Below are 17739 nucleotides of genomic sequence, written 5' to 3' on the forward strand. Positions count from 1 at the left end.
CATCAGTGGGGGTGCCTGTCCCTGTGCATACTCCAGCTGCTGACTTGGAGGGTGGGAGAACTGCCTACCAGAGGGGCCAGCGTGCCGACTTCCAGCCAGCCAGGGAGTGAGGTTATGGGTATGTGATCCTGCTTCTGCTGACCTGCAAGGAGGAAATGGAGACTCAGAGAGGTTGGGTGATCTGCCCAAGGTCACCCAGCTGTTAAGTGGCAATGTCAGGATTAGGAAGCTAAAGCCCTCCTCCTTTCCAGACGCTCAGAGCCTGGGATGAGTTCTCTGTGTCTGGGAGCAGGGAGTTGCCAAAGACCAGGCTGACCTGGGCAGGCCTCTGCCCACTGTCCAGTGGCTCCTCAGGGCTTGGGCTTGGGGCATAGCTCAGGCCCGCATCTGGAGGGCCCTTCAGCAGGAACGAACGTTCTCCAGGAAGGCCTGGGCTTCTCTTGTTCTTGTTATTCCATCAGGACCCAATATAGTGCCCAACACACCTTAGCTAATTGTGAAGCAGGTGTTGGCTGTTGCCCTGAGGTTACCAGGGGCTGATTGGGGGAGGGCTACACTGCCCCCCCCCCGCCCCCACATGGGCCCCAGTGTCCACCCAGGTGGTCAGTGCACTCAGCTTATCCCGTCCCCTGCCCGTCGTTGGGCTCCGGTTACCTGCGTAGGCCACCCTTCGCCCAGATGGGGCTGTGCAGTCCCAAGGAGGGCCGGCGCTTCTCGCCAAGATGGCATGCCCTGCTCGCTGTGGGCACAGCCACCTGAGCCCAGCCTCCTGCCAGCAGCCACACCTACTTGGGGAGCTGGGCCAGGGACCTGGTCTCAGGCAGCACGGTGCGGGGCAGGCAAGGTGTTCAATAGGAAGTCAGGGCCCCTGGGGTGACCAGGACTCCTTGACTCTGACTTGAGGGGACAGTGGGAGTAGGATTGGGTGGCCACATCCCTCGAGTGGTTTCCCCTCTCCCTGCCTGTACCAGCAGGTGGGTGATGAGGCCCACTCCACACATCAGGCCCGGAGCCCAGGGGTGCTGGGTGCAGACCATGGGGTTCACCCTCTCCTGCCCTGGACTCCAGGCAGGCTGGAAAGGAGTGGAGCACCCAGGGTCCAGATTCAGCTGGCAAGGCTGGCAGCTCAGGAATATGCCTCAGGGTCAGAAACTAAGGGGCCAGGTGAGCACCGGGCAGCTCAGGCAAGAGCCCTGTCCCCAGGCTCTAGCTCCAGCGCACTCCCTCTCTTTACACACTGGCCGTGTACAATCTCGTCCTCCTTCAAGGTCGCAGCCACCACCCAATGTCTCCCAGAGGACAGCCTCCCACCAAGAGCTGAGCCCCCAGCTCTGGCCTCCTTTCTGTAACTAGTCTCTGGACACAGCCACTCTGTGTTCCACAGCATCTCAAACTCAGCACTTTCTCGCCCTCAAAACAGGCCTTCTCCCCTGTGTCCCCTCTCATAGTTGAGGCCACCAGCACCCACCTAAGGTAGTTAGCATCCTTCCTCCAGAATGCTTGACTCGCCCTCCCTGCATCCCCGCGTGGCAGAGTCCTGCTGGCCCTGCATCCTGCATTGAGCATGAGTGCACCCCTCCCTCCTTGCCGCCTCTGCCCTTCCCGCCCTGGTAGAGGCCCTCCATCTGTCACCCAGTGGTCACAAGGTAAGACCAGTGTCTTAATTCATCCCCTTGTCTGCAGCATCACACACACACCCCACCCTCCACACCAACCTGTCCCTGTCACCCCCTTGCATAAACCTTCCTAATGTCTCTCCATCACCAGCAGACTTGTGCCCAGCGTCATTACATCAAACAAGCCTAGTCGCAGCCCAGCCCTCACCTGCTGCCTTGCCGCTGATGCTCTGACCACACAGGGCTCTCGGAGTCCCAGAAGACTCCACTGCTCCTCATCCCTGTGCCTTTGTGTGTGCCTTCTCAGCCCTCTCCTCGGCTTGGCTTCACCTGTTGACGGGTGCCCTGGGTGGTCCTTGAGACCTGGCCCAGCACTTTTTCCTCTGTGCATCTTTAGAGCAGAGGCTGGGCCCGAGATCCTGCTGGAGGTCCGTAAACCAGAGAAACTTCCCTGACCTGAAGATGTGGGCTGCACGGTGGAGACTGAACTGGGAGCCTGGAGACTCTGGGGCTCTGGGTGGCAATGGCCTCTCGTAGGAAGATCCCACAGGGCTCATTTATCCATTACCATGGGGAGTGCGTTTTCTGTAGTCAGGGCTTTTGCTTCTCACGTTATTCAGCCGGGCTGTGTAATGGGAAAGAACAGTCACCATCTGCATGGCATCTTCCTCGCCAGCCAGTGGGCAGGGCAGGTGGCTGCTTAAGGCTGCAAGCTGGAGAATCGCAGACGAGGGTTCAGATCTTCCTTGACAGTTCCTCACTGTGTGGTCTTGGATGGGTCATGTACTCCTCAAGCCTCTGTTTCCTCAGTGTAAATGGGGGTGGTGATCATAACCCCCCCAACACACACACACACAGAGTTGAAATGAAGAGCAAATCAACACAGGAATATGAAGTGCCTACAACCGTGCCCGCAGGGGAACTTGCAGCAGCTTTTGTCATTGTGTGGTACACTGAGTGCTTCCCACCGGACTGCTGGGCATGGGAAAGCAATCTTACTATCAGGAACGATGCAGCTGTGATGGGTGCTGCCCTCAAGGGGGAGCCAATTGATCCTTTTTCACCACCTGGTGAAAGCCCCCAGCAGGGGGCTAGACTGTCCTCAGGAGCCCTGGTGTGGACAGCACAGGATGGCCTCATGCCCACATGGGGCCCTATTATAGGTCATTAAACCTGCCCTTGGCACTGTGGGGTCAGCAGGACTGGTTGATAGTGGGGACTCTTATAGCAGAGGAGCCATGGCCTGGGGGGCCTGTCACCCAGGGGTGACCCTTCATGCCCTGGTTTGGTGGTCTGTGCACTCAGCCGTGCTTGGCTTTGGCCTGAGTGGGGCTGGCCATTGGGGAAGGTGCCCAAGACTGTCCAGAGCGTGGCATGGACATGGGTTTCAGGGTGACTCATTTGTGCACACTTGGGTAGAACAAGAGAAGTGGCATCCTCGCCTCCCCTCTGGTGGGCAGCTGCATGGGGACCCCTTTCCCAAGCCCCTTGCATATGGAGGCCCCCTCTTCTGAGCACTGGATCTGCTTCCCGTGCAGACTCATGCTCTAGAGTCATCCACTGTGGGTCCCTCTCAGCACCTGAAAAGGGAAAAGAAGCCTGGGTCCTGGGCTGAGAACTATGAGGCAGGGCCCTGCAGCCATCTGTGATGTGGGAGAAGGCAGTTTCCCCTTCCTAGGAGGGAAGACACCCCCTGCCCCCCAACAGACCTGGCCACTGCTTGGGCCCCCTGGCTCCAGCCCCTCCCACCGATGGGCCACACATAGCATGTGCTCTGAAGCTGAAGCTGTGGTTTAGGGGAAACCAATGTTATGGGAACAGCTCCCAGCTCTAGCTTGTGTCACTCCAGCCTGGAGGCAGATTCAGGGTGGGTGGTTTGGTTTGGGAATCTTATTTTGCCCAGAAAGGAAGGGGGGAGCCAGCCACTAAGGAGAGTGCTGAATGGCTGATGGCTGGAGGACAGACTGTCTACAGGAGTCAGATGCAGGCTGAGAAGGCTTCACGTTAGTGCCTAGATCACCCCCCGTCTCTGCCTGTGCCTGGAAAATGGCATCCCTGACCCAGGGTGGGGAATTGGGGTGCAGTGTTGTCTATGGCTTGTGCTTGTGCTGAGGAGTTAACCTCCAGCAGAGAGGCTGTGAGGCTCCCCCAGTTCCCCGGTCCCCTGAGCCACCAGAAGCCATAGGATTGTGGCATGATTGTTGTCATTCATTGGGAATAAATGCACCCTCCGCCTTTTGGCTGACGTGGGGAGGGCTTGCTCCTGCCCAAAGTGCTCTTCCTGGTTGGGTCCCACAGAGAGATCACCTGGAGGTGCCTCCCACCTGGTGTTCCCTGCCTGGCTGGGCCCTGCAGCCTCTTCTCAAATGTGGCCCTACTGTCTCCCTCCCCACCAAGCCCAGCTCCCCTCCCCTGCTGCCCTTCCCTCAGCCACTATCTCTGGTCAGCCCTACCCCATGCCAGCTTCCTCCCACTGCACCTGGCTCTGTCCCTTGCTGTGAACTGTCTTTTACAAAGTGCCATCCAGAAGGAAAGAAATGCTCAAAGGACATTGACTTCATGGCCCCAGACCTGGCAACCTGATGCCCAGAGGTATAAAAATATGCCTCTGTGACTGTGGTTAGATCGTGCACACCCCCTCATTTATAAACCCACTTTAGGCCGGGCGTGGTGGCTCACACCTGTAATCCCAGCACTTTGGGAGGCCGAGGCAGGCAGATCACGAGGTCAGGAGATTGAGACCATCCTGGCTAACACGGTGAAACCCTGTCTCTACTAAAAATACAAAAAATTAGCCGGGAGTGGTGGTGGGCGCCTGTGGTCCCAGCTACTCGGGAGGCTGAGGCAGGAGAATGGCATGAACCCGGGAGGCGGAGCTTGCAGTGAGCTGAGATCACGCCACTGCACTCCGGCCTGGGCGACAGAGTGAGACTCCGTCTCAAAATAAAATAAAATAAAATTTTAAAATCCACTTTACAGGTGGGGACCCCACAACCCTGGGGACAGCAGACCCTTCGTAGGCCTTCCTACAGATTTATTCCATAAGGGACCGATGACTGAAGCCATAGCTACAGCTCCTCCGTGTAGGCCCAGCTGGGGGTGGAGTGAGCCTCCGTCCAGCCATAGCTGGGGCTGTGGGTCCCATTTCCCTCTGGGTCCCCTCCGTTTTCCTGTGCTGTGGTTTCCTCCTTTTAGCTGTCATGTCCCAACCTTGATCCCCCTGGGGCATCTGGTCCACCCCTGCCCATGAGGCCTATGTCCATCCCACAACTTATAATGCTAACAAGCCGTTTGGGGCCTCCCGGTGGTCAGCAGGCCTGAGCCAGGGGTGACAGCAGGGCCCTCAGCCACCTGGTCCCTTGGCACGGTCTGTCAGGGCTTCTTGCCTAATCAAGGGATGCATTTTAATTTATGCAAATGGGGGAGGGATGGTGGCAGGGAGTCACAGACATCCATCACCCCATTTCCTAGCAGCAGTCATTCATCAGTGGGGCCTTAAAGATAATACACTTTTTGTTTCAGGCAATTACTTAATCTTGACAAACTCCTGTGTTAAGCAGGGCTATTAGCGGGGTCCATCATTAATCAGCGCAGAACCAAGTGGGTGCTTTTTCTGAACTGCAATCACTCTTGGGGACCCGGGGTGGGCCCTTTGCCATCCTCGCCGCCCTAATTACACAAGCAGCATGCTAACAACCAGCATCCCACACGTGTTGCAGGGGCGCCAAGCCACGGGCAGAAGAGGGGCCCATTTTTAACGCCAGTCAGAATGTTTTCGGAGCCAGGCAGAATGATACATGGGGGTTATTAGCAGCCACCAGGAACACAGCTGGGGAAACAGATAACTCCCCTCCCCTGGGTCCCTCCCGGACTTGCCTCTGACTTCGCTGGGTACCTGGGCAGCACTTAGATGCCGCTGCATGGCAGACCCATTCTGTTTTAAGGGGTTACATTTCCTTTTGGAAAGACCACGAATGAAGTGAAAATACCAAGGCTGGCCTTGTGTTTCCTGGAGTTTGTTGGTGCTCCACCTCCTTACCAGGGCCTGGGTCACAGAGTACTGCTCCCTCCTCCATCACACACCTGTGACCCTTATTACACCAATGCCTGGCCCAGGCTGCCCTGAGGGGGAGTGGGCACCCAGGAGAACAGGGGATGAGTCGGGCAAAGACTGGGACCTGGGCCTTCCCCCGGCCTCATTTCTTCTTCCTGGTCCAAGAAGAGCTCATACCGCCCTACCCTACCCCACCCATGTCTGGAATTTCAGAGAAATGGGCATGAGGTCTGGCTGTGACACAGATTAGCCATTTGACTGAACCAGGGCAAGTTACTGAACGCTCCTGTGCCTCAGTTTCCTCATCTCTAAAGTGGAGATAATAGTAACAATACCTTCATCAATTGCTATGAGGATGAAATGAGTTAACAAATGCAACATGCTCAGGAAGGCTCCAGTGTGAAGGAAGCCCTGTGCACTGGCTGTTAGAACCACTGCGGTTTCCAGTCTCCAAGGAAGGGCCAGTGCGTGGCTGACTCCTAGAAACTGCTCTGTCTCCTACTGCGGCCCCGAGCAGCATGGCTTTCTCTCCTCGGTCCTAAATTAATTTAGACTGACAGTCGGTAGCTACTGGCCACCCTTGTTATCCTCGGGTTCTGTTTTCCAATAGTGGGAGGATTCACTCATTCATGTATTCATTCATTCACTCACTGGGCACATACTCCTCACCTCCTCCATGCCACTCGCTGGGCTGGTCGTTGACTCAGAGGAAATGGTGTGGAGGGAGTATCGTCTGCCTGCGGTGGAGGGGGGTGGCAGAAGAAAGGTCCAGGAAGCTTCCTGGAGGCAGGCTCGTGTGGACTGGGGTTGCTGAGGGCAGGCTGAGTTGGCATGATGAGGATGAGGGGGTGTGGTGGGGAGGGGCTTTCTAGGCAGGGTGGAGCCTAGGAGGCATGGGGTCTGCAAGGCTGTCATTTGACCCTGGGGCTGGGAGAGTCTGTGGGGCAGGATCTGGAGGTCCTGAGTGCCAGGCTGGGGCTCTTGACTCCATTCTGCTGGCAATGGCAGGACCTGGGGACCACCTGTCAGTCACTCAGACCCTCCTCCTGGTCCCCCTACTGAGGTGTGACTGGACCCACAAAGCAGGGCCTTTGCCCACAAACGCCTCGGATGAGAGTGCACAGGCCAGGCTGCTCTTGGGTTTGTGGAAGGGCAGCTCTGGTTTCTCCGGCCCCGAAACACATTGTATTTGGGAGTTTTCCCCTAGATCTTAAACCCTGTTTATTTAAAAAGAAGTAGACTCTGTCTGCTTTTAATTCACATGCTTAGCTCATCAAAATATTGTTTTGCAAGAGGTTTTTTTTTTTTTTTTTGATGTCAGGAAGGCTTTGGCATGTTTTCCTCCTCCCTTTCTTCTACAGTCTTATTCTAGGAAATAAGATTCTGGGCACCGCTCAGGGCTGGAGGGTTGGGTCATGAGACCACATATTCTGTGTCTCAGTTTCTGAACCAACAAAATAGGGGAGCAGGCTCTTCCCACGGATTCATGGACTGGCCTCCAGTCCTGCTGGTGGACACCGTATCCCAGCAAAGAGAAATACTGTTTCCATGCGCCACAGTGGTCGTTGGTGGGGAGAGTGGGGAGGGTGGTGGGAATGGCATGTGCTCCAACCATCATTCAGTTAACTGGGTCCAGAATCACACGGGCAGGGAGCCAGGCGTCCGAAAGTGTAACACGGCTTGCCCGGTGTTTCTCCACGGTCCTGCCGCACTGCCCCTCATGACCCCGGCATGGGCTTTGCTTTCTGCGGACCCTCTTATTTGTCGAAGATCTCGGGAGTCCACACACCCACTCCCGTGTCTGGGAACACTCCAAGCTTATCAAGAACGCAGCGGGCAGCAATCCAGGGCAGAACAAGGGAGGTGCTGTCGACCAGCTCTGCGCGGAGAGGTCAAGGGTGTGGAAGGGTGGGGAGAGAGGCACAGGCTGACTTAATCCCTTGGGCGGGGCACCGGCCTCACCCACAGAATCGCAAGTAACCCTCCTACGATTCTGGGAACGTTTGTGAGTTAAATGAATGGAAGGGAGGGAGGAAAGGAGGGAAGAAAAATAACTGTGTTTTCATCAGTAAATGTAAGCGACCAAATAGAAGTCTGTAGGAAGCTAAGATTCAAAGGTGAGGAAGGACTGAGGTTTGGGGAGAATTCTCATCACCATATTTTGTGTATTGATGGGACTTTTACTAAGCTAGACTAGAATTCTGAAGCAGTGGAAAGTCAATAATGATAACGAGTTAGGCCTGAGCTGTTCAGTAGGGTAGCCGCGAGCTGTGTGTGGCTGAGTGCTTGCAATGTGGCTATCCTAATTGAGATGTGCTGTGAGTGCAAGATAGGTACCAGGTTTTGAAGACGTAGTAGGAATAAAAGCATGTAACACATCTCATTAACAATTTTTTTACTGGTTCCATGTTGAAGTGATAGTATTTTTGACGTACTGGTTCAATTAAATTGTGTTATTAAAATAATCACCTGTTTCTTTTTAGTTTTTTTTAAATGTGGCTCCTAGAAAATTTACAATAACATATGTGGCCCACATTGTATTTCTGTTGGCCAGGGCTGCATTGGATGAGTGGACACCTAGGGAAGATTCTAGTCCAAGGTAGAGAGAATTGTAAAGGATCCCTTTGAGTAACATAATTATTGGGACTGACAAGAGGCTCCCAGAAAGTGGCCCTTACGGGACCTGCTTGGATGAAAGAATGGAGAGCATTTTGTCATTCCCCTGTTGATTGCAGAAAGACAGTAAGTCCAGCCCCAGTGCTCGTTTGCTTGTCCAGGTGGCTGATTCCGCTGCCCGGTTTTAAAGGTCATTGATTGTCTGTGGCAGGCCCTGCCTCAGAATGCAGCCTGGAATAAAGAGGTGCCTTGGCTCAGCCTGGGAAACCATCACCAGGGCCTGGTGGAGACCAAATGTGGTGGCCTTACTGTCGTCTCAAGAGCTATGGCAGAGTGCAAAGCTGGGACTTGATGCTCTCGGCAGGACGCAAGGCAGGACCTATAAGCCAGATCAAGAAACCTCTTGTTGGGCTCTGCAGGGAAGGGGCTGGATGCTAGTTAAGTACACAGAATGGCAAGTGACACCTTCACGACCCGTGGGGACCAGACAGAGGAATGGCATGGTCATCCTCCTGAAAGGGAGAATCACCTGCGACAAGTGGGCTTCTTGCCGGGGACCAGTCAGCATTGCAATAGCTAGCCGACAAGGTCCCTGCCAGCTGACGGGGTCGCCAGTGTATACTGTCAAATGAGTATGTCAAGGGGCAGCAAGATTTTAGGGGAAAGCCTGAATCCATCCCAGGCCACCTGGCCTAGCCCTGGCCTGTGACAGGTGGAAGGAGCACTAGGGCCTGGGCACCGTCTCCTCCAGCTCCTGGGCTGGATTCCTGCTTTCTGCATTGGATTCTGCAAGGTGCCAGGGTCCCTGGGAGCCATGGTCCTCTGGGCTTCAAATCTATTGCATTTTGCAGTGGGGAGGCTGCACACTACTTTTTTAGAAACCTTCTGTGACCAAGACAGAGTTTTCAACCTTAAGCAAGCTTGACCAGCCCTATTGTTTCTTCCAGCCCTAAAATTCTCTAATGTGGGACTCTACATGTCTACCCAGACAGACAGGCAGCCCCTCCCATTCCTTGTGATGGCGGGGATCTCCCAGGTGTCCCTCTGGAGCTCACCCCAGTCTCCCACCCCTTGCTAAAGGGGCAGGAGCCCAGCAGAGGGGTCTGTAGGGATGGCCACACCGGCACCCTTCGGGGCCCTACTGCGTGCCTGGCCCTGCACTAGCTCTTCTCCACTTCACAGTCTCCCTCTGACATGGGTCCTGTCCCTATCCTCATTTTACAGATAAGGACACCGAGGCACAGGAAGGTTCGGTGAGTCAGCAATCAAGCCAGACTTGGCTGTGGCACTGGCGGCAGCCTCAGCTCTGTCCAACAGGACACTATGCCGCCTCTTGTGGCCTGTCTCCTGTCACTTCAAGGCCACTGTTGCAGGGAACAGATCCCATGACTGCCTGGCTCCCGAGCGGCCAGACCCAAATGGCACGGGGCTGGCCTCTCCCGTGGCGTTGGCTGGAGCACACTCCTCACCCTGGAATGTGCAGGTCCCTCTGCATCCCTACCTGCCCTCACCAGGAGACCAGTCTCAGAACTCTGTGCCTGGTGTGGAGTGGCTGTGCTGGCCCCAGCCCAGCACACTCTCTCTTTCGGCAGCTAATTTGTCAAGTAACACCTCAGCCTGGGGTGGGCAGTGTGCGTGGGCGGACCCAGCAGAGGCCACGGGTCCTGCTAGGCTGTGTCTGCAGGGCAGGCCTGATTGCGTGAGTGGCCTGGGCCTCAGCCAGCCGGACACCAGCCAGCTCGTGGTGTTGGAATTTCCTGTCTGATTTTAATTCCTCCCCCCACGTTTTTCCCCCAAGTGAGACAGAAGCACTTTTTAGTTGCACGTTGTGGAGTGGCCATTCAGGATATTATTCTTATTAAATGCTTCCTGTGGGGTGGTGGCTGGGCATCAGGAGGGCCTCTGGAATTCTCCTGTCCTGTGGCTTATTATTGAAAATCATGGTGCCATTTGCATAAGGCCCTGGGGAAGGAGGTTTTCCATGATTCGTGCTCTTTTGGTGCTTCCTACCTCTGATGCTTAGGCCAGTGACTTCGTCCTCATTTGCGAACGAACACCTGGTCACCTGGGCTCACGTGGCTGAAGGGCTGGCCTTTGAAAGTGTCAGGATCTCAGAACAGACCAAGGCTCCCTAGCAAGGGGAGAAAGTCCCTGGCAGCCTCTCCCAGCCCTGGTGTGCACTTTCATTCATGTACCATCGAAAAGCACAGACCCCTGGATGCCTTCCAAACCTGCATTCCCAGTGGCACCCAGACCCCTTGCAGCTGCTGCTCAGAAGCACTGGTAAATGGTCACCAGGATTCAAATGTCTCCCCCACTCCCGCCTCTCTGATCTTCTGTGTTGAGTTTCTCCAGTTAGTACAATGCCTAGTAGGCGCATGGACATGATAAATGATTTCCCCTTCCTTACTGTGCAACTGGGAACTATGGAGCCACAGCAAGTGTGGAAATGCCAAAGGGCCTGTGAGTCTCCCTCCCGGGGTGGTCCCTGGAGCAGCAGCATCTGCATCACTGGGAACCTGTTAGACATGCCCAGGCTCACTGAGGCAGGAGCTCTGGCAACAGGGCCCAGCAACAGCCTGAGAAACCCCGATATCAGGGCTTAGTGGGTGCTTCATCATGTACCTCTTACTATGTGTATTACATCATGTGTTCCTCTCGAGGACGCCAGCAAGAGATGTTCCTCATCCTGTATGTATAGGAGAGGCCACATGCTTTGCACCGGGGCTTACACTTCACTCGGTTCAGTGCCAGGGCACAATTGGGCATCCTGGGCTCACTGTCCGCACTGCCCTGAGCCTGAAGAGCCTGCCATCCTCCCCCTTCCTTCTGGCTCTGCCAGGTCTGGCCTCTTCCAATGAGCCTTCCTGGCTGCTCCAGACCTCATGGAAATCTTTTCCTGACTTTGAGGCCACTTGGGCAGTTTGTGCTGCGTGGGCCTCGCTGAATCCCGCAGGGTCAGGCTCTCCAGCTGTGGCAGTGGCTTACACAGCAGCGCCCCGGGGCACTCCCTGTGGGCAGGAATTATGCCTCTTGTTCTCTGTGGCCTCCAGAGCCCATGAGCAGCGTCCTCTTACATTGAGCGAGTAGGGGAAGCCTTGACCTGCAGCAGGGTGTGTGGTTGTGACTTCCAACTGTGGATGGAGAACTCTGCCCTGGGTGGTGAGCAGCTCCGCCGTGGATTCCAGAGACAGCTGTGGAGCCAGGCTTGATGGGGCCCAAAGCCTGTGTATGTCAAGGCCATATTAGTGGGACAATGTGTCTGAACTACATCGTATCCCTAGATCAGACCTGGATGGTTGAAGGAGGGAGCATCCAGCCTCTTCTTTGAAGCTGGTGTCGTCGTTTCTGGTATCTTCTGGGAAGCCTTTAGGTACAACTTCCCTGGGGATTGGGCCTGGGATCTCCACAGGAATAGGAGAGAGCAGAGTCTTGCTCCATGGGATTTGTGACAAGCCCAGAATAAATGGCCAGAAGCGACCTTAGCCATGCAAACAGCAAGCTGACATCCAGCATCATTGGTGTTGGGAGGGCGCTGGCCTTCTGGGGTTCATCACCAGAATGACGGTGCTGATCGCCATCCTTACCCATGAGGTTAACATTTTTCATTTCATAAGGTGTCTTCACATTCCTGTTTCATATAGGATTAAGTGGTTTAACTGATCAAATTGTACATTAAGCGTGGAATGGAAAGTAGCAATCACTCTCACTTTCTTTCTCTCTGTTGAGACTGGGGAGTCATTGACGACCATGTAGCCAGTGGTGCATCTGTTCTTGTTTGACAACTCAGACCTGGCCCAGGGCCCCGAGATGGCACATGTGTGCATTCAGGCCCCACTCTGTTCTCCTGAGCCTGTGCTTCCTGGCAGAGCCCAGAAGCAGCCTGAAGATGCAGTACCCTGCCCAGCCTTGCCCTCCTTGCAGCTTTGTCCAGGCCATCCATGCGCCCCCTTTCCTGGAGGGAAGTAGTACTGGGTTTGGTGTAAAATAATTGAATTGTAGAGGAGACCCCATCCTCTGCACTGCTGCTGCCTTGCAGCACACAGGAGGAGCCTTCATGAGATGTCATAGGCTGGGACCTGGTCACATCCCTTCTGCCTTGGGCTTCTCCTGCTGCTGACTTTCCCAAGAGGGGAGTTATTGCTGCAGCCATGGGATATGTGGCTGATGCAGACAAGGAGAGTGGGAGCCCTCCTTTTAAACGGAATTCACAATAGTGTTCACCTGAACTCCCAGACCACCTTGCAAGTTCCCTCCCCTGCTTATTTTCTGCGGGCAGCATGGACACAGACACTAGGGAAAGAATGGTGGGAACCACCAGAGCTTGTAGTAGCCAGCCTAAGCCTCCTGGGGATTGGTCATCTGGGAATAGGGGTGAGTGGCCAGCAGGGATTAATTTATAGAAGATCTTTCCTGCAAAGCCATGGCTTTCATCAGTTCCTGCATCCTCACTCTGTCAAGCAGTGAGTTTGCACAGAGTACACATCTGTGCATGGAGAACTCTGCCCTGGGTGGTGAGCAGCTCCGCCGTGGATTCCAGAGACAGCTGCAGAGCTGGGCTGGGTGGAGCCCAAACCCTGTGTATGTCAAGGCCATATGAGTGGGGTGATGTGTCTGAACTACATCGTATCCCTAGATCAGACCTGGATGGCTGAAGGAGGGAGCATCGGTGGATGCCTTATATGAGTTTCTATCTGATACATCTCAATGTCCCTTATACTGGGAATGGAGGAAAAGTTCTCTTCATTACCATAGCACCGGGACCCTTGTCACATCTGCTCAGAGATGGGGAAGGGCATTATGACTTATTAGGGGTTTCTACTCTATGGACACCATAAATATTCTTTTTTTTTTTTTTTTTTTGGATATGGAGCCTCTCTCTGTCTCCCAGGCTGGAGTGCATTGGCGCAATCTCAGCTCACTGCAACCTCCAGCTCCCAGGTTCAAGTTATTCTCCTGCCTCAGCCTCTCCAGTAACTGGGATTACAGGCTTGCACCACCACCCCTGGCTAATTTTTGTATTTTTAGTAGAGATGGGGTTTCGCCATGTTGGCCAGGATGGTGTCAAACTCCTGACCTCAGGTGATCCACCCACCTCGGCCTCCCAAAGAGTTGGGATTACAGGCGTGAGCCACTGCGCCCAGCCCACCATAAATATTCTTCACAGCAGTTGGGTTGATGTCATTCCTATTTTACAGATGATGAAACTGAAGCTTGGAACACTCATTACTTGCTAGCGAATGACAGAGCCGTGGTTCACACTCAGGTCTGTCTGGATTCATGGCTCAGGTGCGTTCTGCTCCTATCCCAAGCTCCTTAGACAACAGGGACAGGTGATGTCCTGTAGGACTGTCCTCTGGCTGATGTGTGACACTGGAGCAAGCTGGACTTCACTCTGACTGCAAAGGTTACCTTGACTTCCAGCCTGCCCCTCTACTGCTTTTTTCTTTCTTCTACACTAGCGCCTTCTTTTGCCAAAGATATTGGTGTATTTTGTGCCTAGGTCCTTCCATTAGGAGAAAAGCAACCAGTAAGCCATCTACACTTTGGTGTGAATCCATTCCCATGACTCCCAAGTTCTGTTTGCTTCTAAGAAAATAATACTGTGCTGGATGTTACTTAATATGCAAGGAATTCTAAGTTAAAGGAACATGATAAATTAGTTTTTAACTGGAGAATCCCAAAGTCCCCCATAGTGGGAACAAAATTGGATGTCAAAAAGCCCTTCTCCAGTCATCCCAGAGACGTGCCAAGTAAGAATGCCTCCACTTCAGCTGATTGGAGTCCACTCCTCACGTAAGAGTGCCCGACCCGACGCAGAGCAGGCACCCCAGGAGTGCTTTGTGTGCGAGTGCTGGCCAGGGTCCCACACAGACCAAAGCCTCCTGGCCTGAAGGCTGGGAAGGTGCATGTGGGCATCACAGAGGCCACCTGAGTGTGGCAGGTGGACAGGGCATGGGGACCTATGGTCCTGACACGGGGCCCACCCGGTGGGTGCAACATGGCTGCTCCAAAGGAGTCTCTCTCCACGTGGCTCCAGCACTGTCCCCTGGGATTCACACCTGCAGCATGGGAGCCAATCCCTGGAACCCTCCACAGCAACACTCAGCATCACCGGGCTTCCCCATCCTGGCCACAGCCAAGGGGCTGAGGGCCCTGGTGTTTGGAACCAAAGGCCTCATGCGCCCTTCCTTGATTTCTGGTCATGGATGCAGCTACCGCACTGGCCTCCTACATGGTGACCCTGGAGCGGCCAATTGCCCAAGAAGGATGGGGATCCAGGCCCCAGCCATGCCACTGCCTTCCTTCCCGGGCCCACAAGCTGCACTGAGATGTGTTTGCGCTGCCTCGTCGTAACACAGACCTGTATGGTGCAAGGCTGGGCCTCACCTTCCCTCCATCAGTGCTGGGGCAACTCGATTTCTCTCTGAAACCGGTTTCTTCTCTGGTCCAGGCCGGCCTGGTGCACAGCGACCACATGCTTCCAAGCTAATTCCCTCCCGCAGTCTTGATGGAAGAGACCATGGTAACTGGAGATGGTGCTAATCTCTAGGACTGGACAGCCCAGAGGGCTGGGGCATCCCCAACACAGCCACTCTGTCCTGGGAGGTGGCTGCTTTCACCTCCCTGGCCTCTCTGCCGTGGAACAGGCCCTCAGGCTTCTCTGGGAGCCCAGCCACGGGGCAGTGCCTCTGCGTTGTGGCAACACATGACTTCATCCGAGGAGAATTCCTCCGGCTGCTGATGGAGGCCGCCTGGTCATGTTTCCATGACCCAGTTTTCCCGATTCTTTGTCTGAACTCTGCAGACCCCTACCTCCTTCTCTCCCCCAGGAATCCACAGGATCATTTCTAATGGGGCATTAACTTGAGCCAGGTTTCCGGGGAAGGGCTGTCCTTGCCCCCTCACTGCCCTCCTCACTAACACAAGAAGACCATTACACCCAGTACACTGCCCACACCAATGTCTGCTCGCCCTGGGACCGCCAGCAAGAAACATTTGGTGTTGAAACTGCAGCGTAGAAAAGTTCCAGGATTTTAAAGAAAAAGCCGTCACTCCGCCGCCACCCTCAGCTTCTCAGGCTGTTGGGCTTTCTGTGTAGGATCAAAAACAAATGTGCATTTTTTTTTCCAGAGGGGAGTGATGATCCATTGAAAATTCCCATCTTAGAGTTTCTTCCTCAGAAACTTAAAAAGAGAGTCATTTCTTTGAAATGGCATACGGGGTGTGTATGTTTTCAGGGGGATGGTGTGTCTGTCCCTCTGCCGGAAGGACATGATTAATTTTGGATTTTTTCTTTTACTTGAAAAAAAAAAAAAAACACAAAAGCCAACAATGAAAGCTGTGTGTGTAAGGGTCTGGCTCAGGATGTCACTCAAGGCAGCGCCTATTCTTCCCACGCATCTTCATGCTCCTCGTGGGCTTCTGCAGCCTCTGGATGCAGCAGTTTCTTGCCAGAGTTGGAAAGCAGAATTTTTCCCTCCTCAGCCTGGCCAGGGGGCTCTGAGCAAGGCATTCACCTCTGAATGTTTCCATCGGGGGCTGTGGGACAATCCGTGCTGGTCTGAAAGAGACCACCAATGAGTCAGGGTCAACCTTTATCCCTCAGGTTACTTGGGAAGAAAAGGTGGTCTGTAGAGACTGTGTGTGCACGTGTGTGCATGTGTGTTGGTGGGGGGTGTTGGGGTGCTGTCCTATTATACCTGGGCTCAGAGGATTGGGGCTGGGGCTGGGGCTGGTGTGTCAAGTGGGTTAGAAGGGCCGTTGGGTCAGTCATTATACATACAGGGCCACAAAGATGAGCCAGCATCTGCACCCAGAGCCCTGGTCTGGGCCTGCTCAGGAGGTCCCTCCTGAAGCCTTGGGGTGTCACTGGCTGGAATAAGCGAGGCCCTTTGCCTGGGAAGTGGGCAACCATTTACAGATAGCAGGAATGTGCCAGTAGGAAGGGACCTCATAGCTCCTCTAATCCCTGTTGTACAAGGAGTGTGAGACCCAGAGAAGGGACATAATTTCCCCAAAGTCCCATGGCCACCTAGCGGCAGGGCCAGTCTGGGATTCCTGGCGGATGGGCACCACTGCCCCACAGCACTGGACCCTCCTTGTACAGCATTTCCAAAAGTTGTATCAGAGCAGGTGACTGCCTGCTCAGGACTTCCCAGGGGCTTCCCAGATTGCTCAGAAAAAAATCCCAAGGTTCTTCCCATGGCCTGGCTAGTGTGATAGGACCTTCTCTCCTGCCTTTCCACCTCCATCCATCCTTCTGTGCCTGGCAAGTTAGCCTTCATGCTGAAATCACTGAGTTCTCCTGACACCTGGCCTTTGAATTTGCTATTCCTTCTGCCCCAAGCTCCTTCTCCAAAGAGGCTGACTTACCTCCGTGCCTCATCCATGTCTCCTCTGTTCCCTCTCCCAGGTGGATTTCCTCCTTAGCTTCATCCCCCTCTGACACTATGTTATAAATATGTTTGCTGACTTGTCCACCACCTGTCTCCTCTCACTGGGCCATGGTGTGGGCTGCCTTGTCACAACACTGTTCCCAGGGCCTAGAACAGTGCCTGCCACATAGCAAATGCTTGATACAAGGTAGATGCATGCATGCATAAATAAATGAGTGAATGAATATTTCTAGATGACAGCTATTCATACTTCACAACTGCTGATGTGAATAGATGGGGTCTTCTCTCTGAGGGTGAGCGGAAGGGTCTGGGCAGGTCCCTGGTCTTACTCCTTGCAACTTGGCCGACTAGCTGGCCTTATACATCCCTGTCCATCCTGGGGCAAACACTGTGCTACTGTATTGGGATAGCAGTGCCAGAGGCCCTACTCACTGAAGGCCTGCTGCATGCTGGGTGCTGGGCTGAGCTGTGTGGGGAAAAGACTATGAGACCACCAGTCACTTACCACCCAATGGATCATTGCTCTTATGGAAGTAGAGTCCCACCACCCTGAGCCTTGATGTTCTTTCCTGAAAAATGGGAATAAGAACAAGGTTAATGGTAAAACTAAAGGTGCTGTCAGCAAAGCCCCATGAGGCAGCAGACCTTGCTGGAGATGAGCCCCCACAACAGCAACCCTAGTGGGCACATTGCCACTCTGCCCTGGCCAACCTCACACATCACCGCCAGGACAGGAGGACCCACTAACACGTGTTCCCAGGCTCCTCCTGGGGATTCCAGGGGGTGAGAGAGGAGTGCACGGGTGCAGCCTGCACATTCCACAGGTGACCCAGGCTCCTGGAGAGCAGCAGAGCTGGTAAGAGGTGCCACCTGCAGCCCTGCCTACCTGGAGAAAGAGAAAGTGCTTCTCCTGTGACCTCCACAGCCTCCACCCCAGGAGCTGCCAGACAACAGACGGCAGGCCCCACTATAGCAGGACTCTGTGGGAACCCTCCCCAGGCCTCTTTCTGGAAGCCTCAGGCCCCTCCTCCAACACACACCACATGTACGTACA

General features: G+C 54.4%; 1 protein-coding gene across 8 annotated transcripts in view, besides 5 other annotated features; it reads left to right on the plus strand.

Annotated features, from left to right (window-relative positions):
- The window catches only part of GLI2 (GLI family zinc finger 2), a 256786-nt gene that overhangs the window by 169441 nt on the left and 69606 nt on the right, over positions 1–17739 (plus strand). The gene's annotated exons all lie outside the window — the stretch shown is intronic.
- Positions 2219–2954: an enhancer, noted in NCBI's record as "H3K4me1 hESC enhancer chr2:121665103-121665838 (GRCh37/hg19 assembly coordinates)". NCBI's record gives its function as "activates a minimal SCP1, AML or CMV promoter by ChIP-STARR-seq in primed H9 embryonic stem cells {active_cell/tissue: H9 hESC(primed)}" and the evidence as "EXISTENCE:reporter gene assay evidence [ECO:0000049][PMID:30033119]".
- Positions 2955–3691: an enhancer, noted in NCBI's record as "H3K4me1 hESC enhancer chr2:121665839-121666575 (GRCh37/hg19 assembly coordinates)". NCBI's record gives its function as "activates a minimal SCP1, AML or CMV promoter by ChIP-STARR-seq in primed H9 embryonic stem cells {active_cell/tissue: H9 hESC(primed)}" and the evidence as "EXISTENCE:reporter gene assay evidence [ECO:0000049][PMID:30033119]".
- Positions 6000–6943: an enhancer, noted in NCBI's record as "H3K4me1 hESC enhancer chr2:121668884-121669827 (GRCh37/hg19 assembly coordinates)". NCBI's record gives its function as "activates a minimal SCP1, AML or CMV promoter by ChIP-STARR-seq in naive H9 embryonic stem cells {active_cell/tissue: H9 hESC(naive)}" and the evidence as "EXISTENCE:reporter gene assay evidence [ECO:0000049][PMID:30033119]".
- Positions 9235–10008: an enhancer, noted in NCBI's record as "H3K4me1 hESC enhancer chr2:121672119-121672892 (GRCh37/hg19 assembly coordinates)". NCBI's record gives its function as "activates a minimal SCP1, AML or CMV promoter by ChIP-STARR-seq in naive H9 embryonic stem cells {active_cell/tissue: H9 hESC(naive)}" and the evidence as "EXISTENCE:reporter gene assay evidence [ECO:0000049][PMID:30033119]".
- Positions 10009–10782: an enhancer, noted in NCBI's record as "H3K4me1 hESC enhancer chr2:121672893-121673666 (GRCh37/hg19 assembly coordinates)". NCBI's record gives its function as "activates a minimal SCP1, AML or CMV promoter by ChIP-STARR-seq in naive H9 embryonic stem cells {active_cell/tissue: H9 hESC(naive)}" and the evidence as "EXISTENCE:reporter gene assay evidence [ECO:0000049][PMID:30033119]".

The sequence above is a fragment of the Homo sapiens genome, chromosome 2 (genome assembly GCF_000001405.40).
Source record: "Homo sapiens chromosome 2, GRCh38.p14 Primary Assembly".
NCBI lineage: Eukaryota > Metazoa > Chordata > Mammalia > Primates > Hominidae > Homo > Homo sapiens.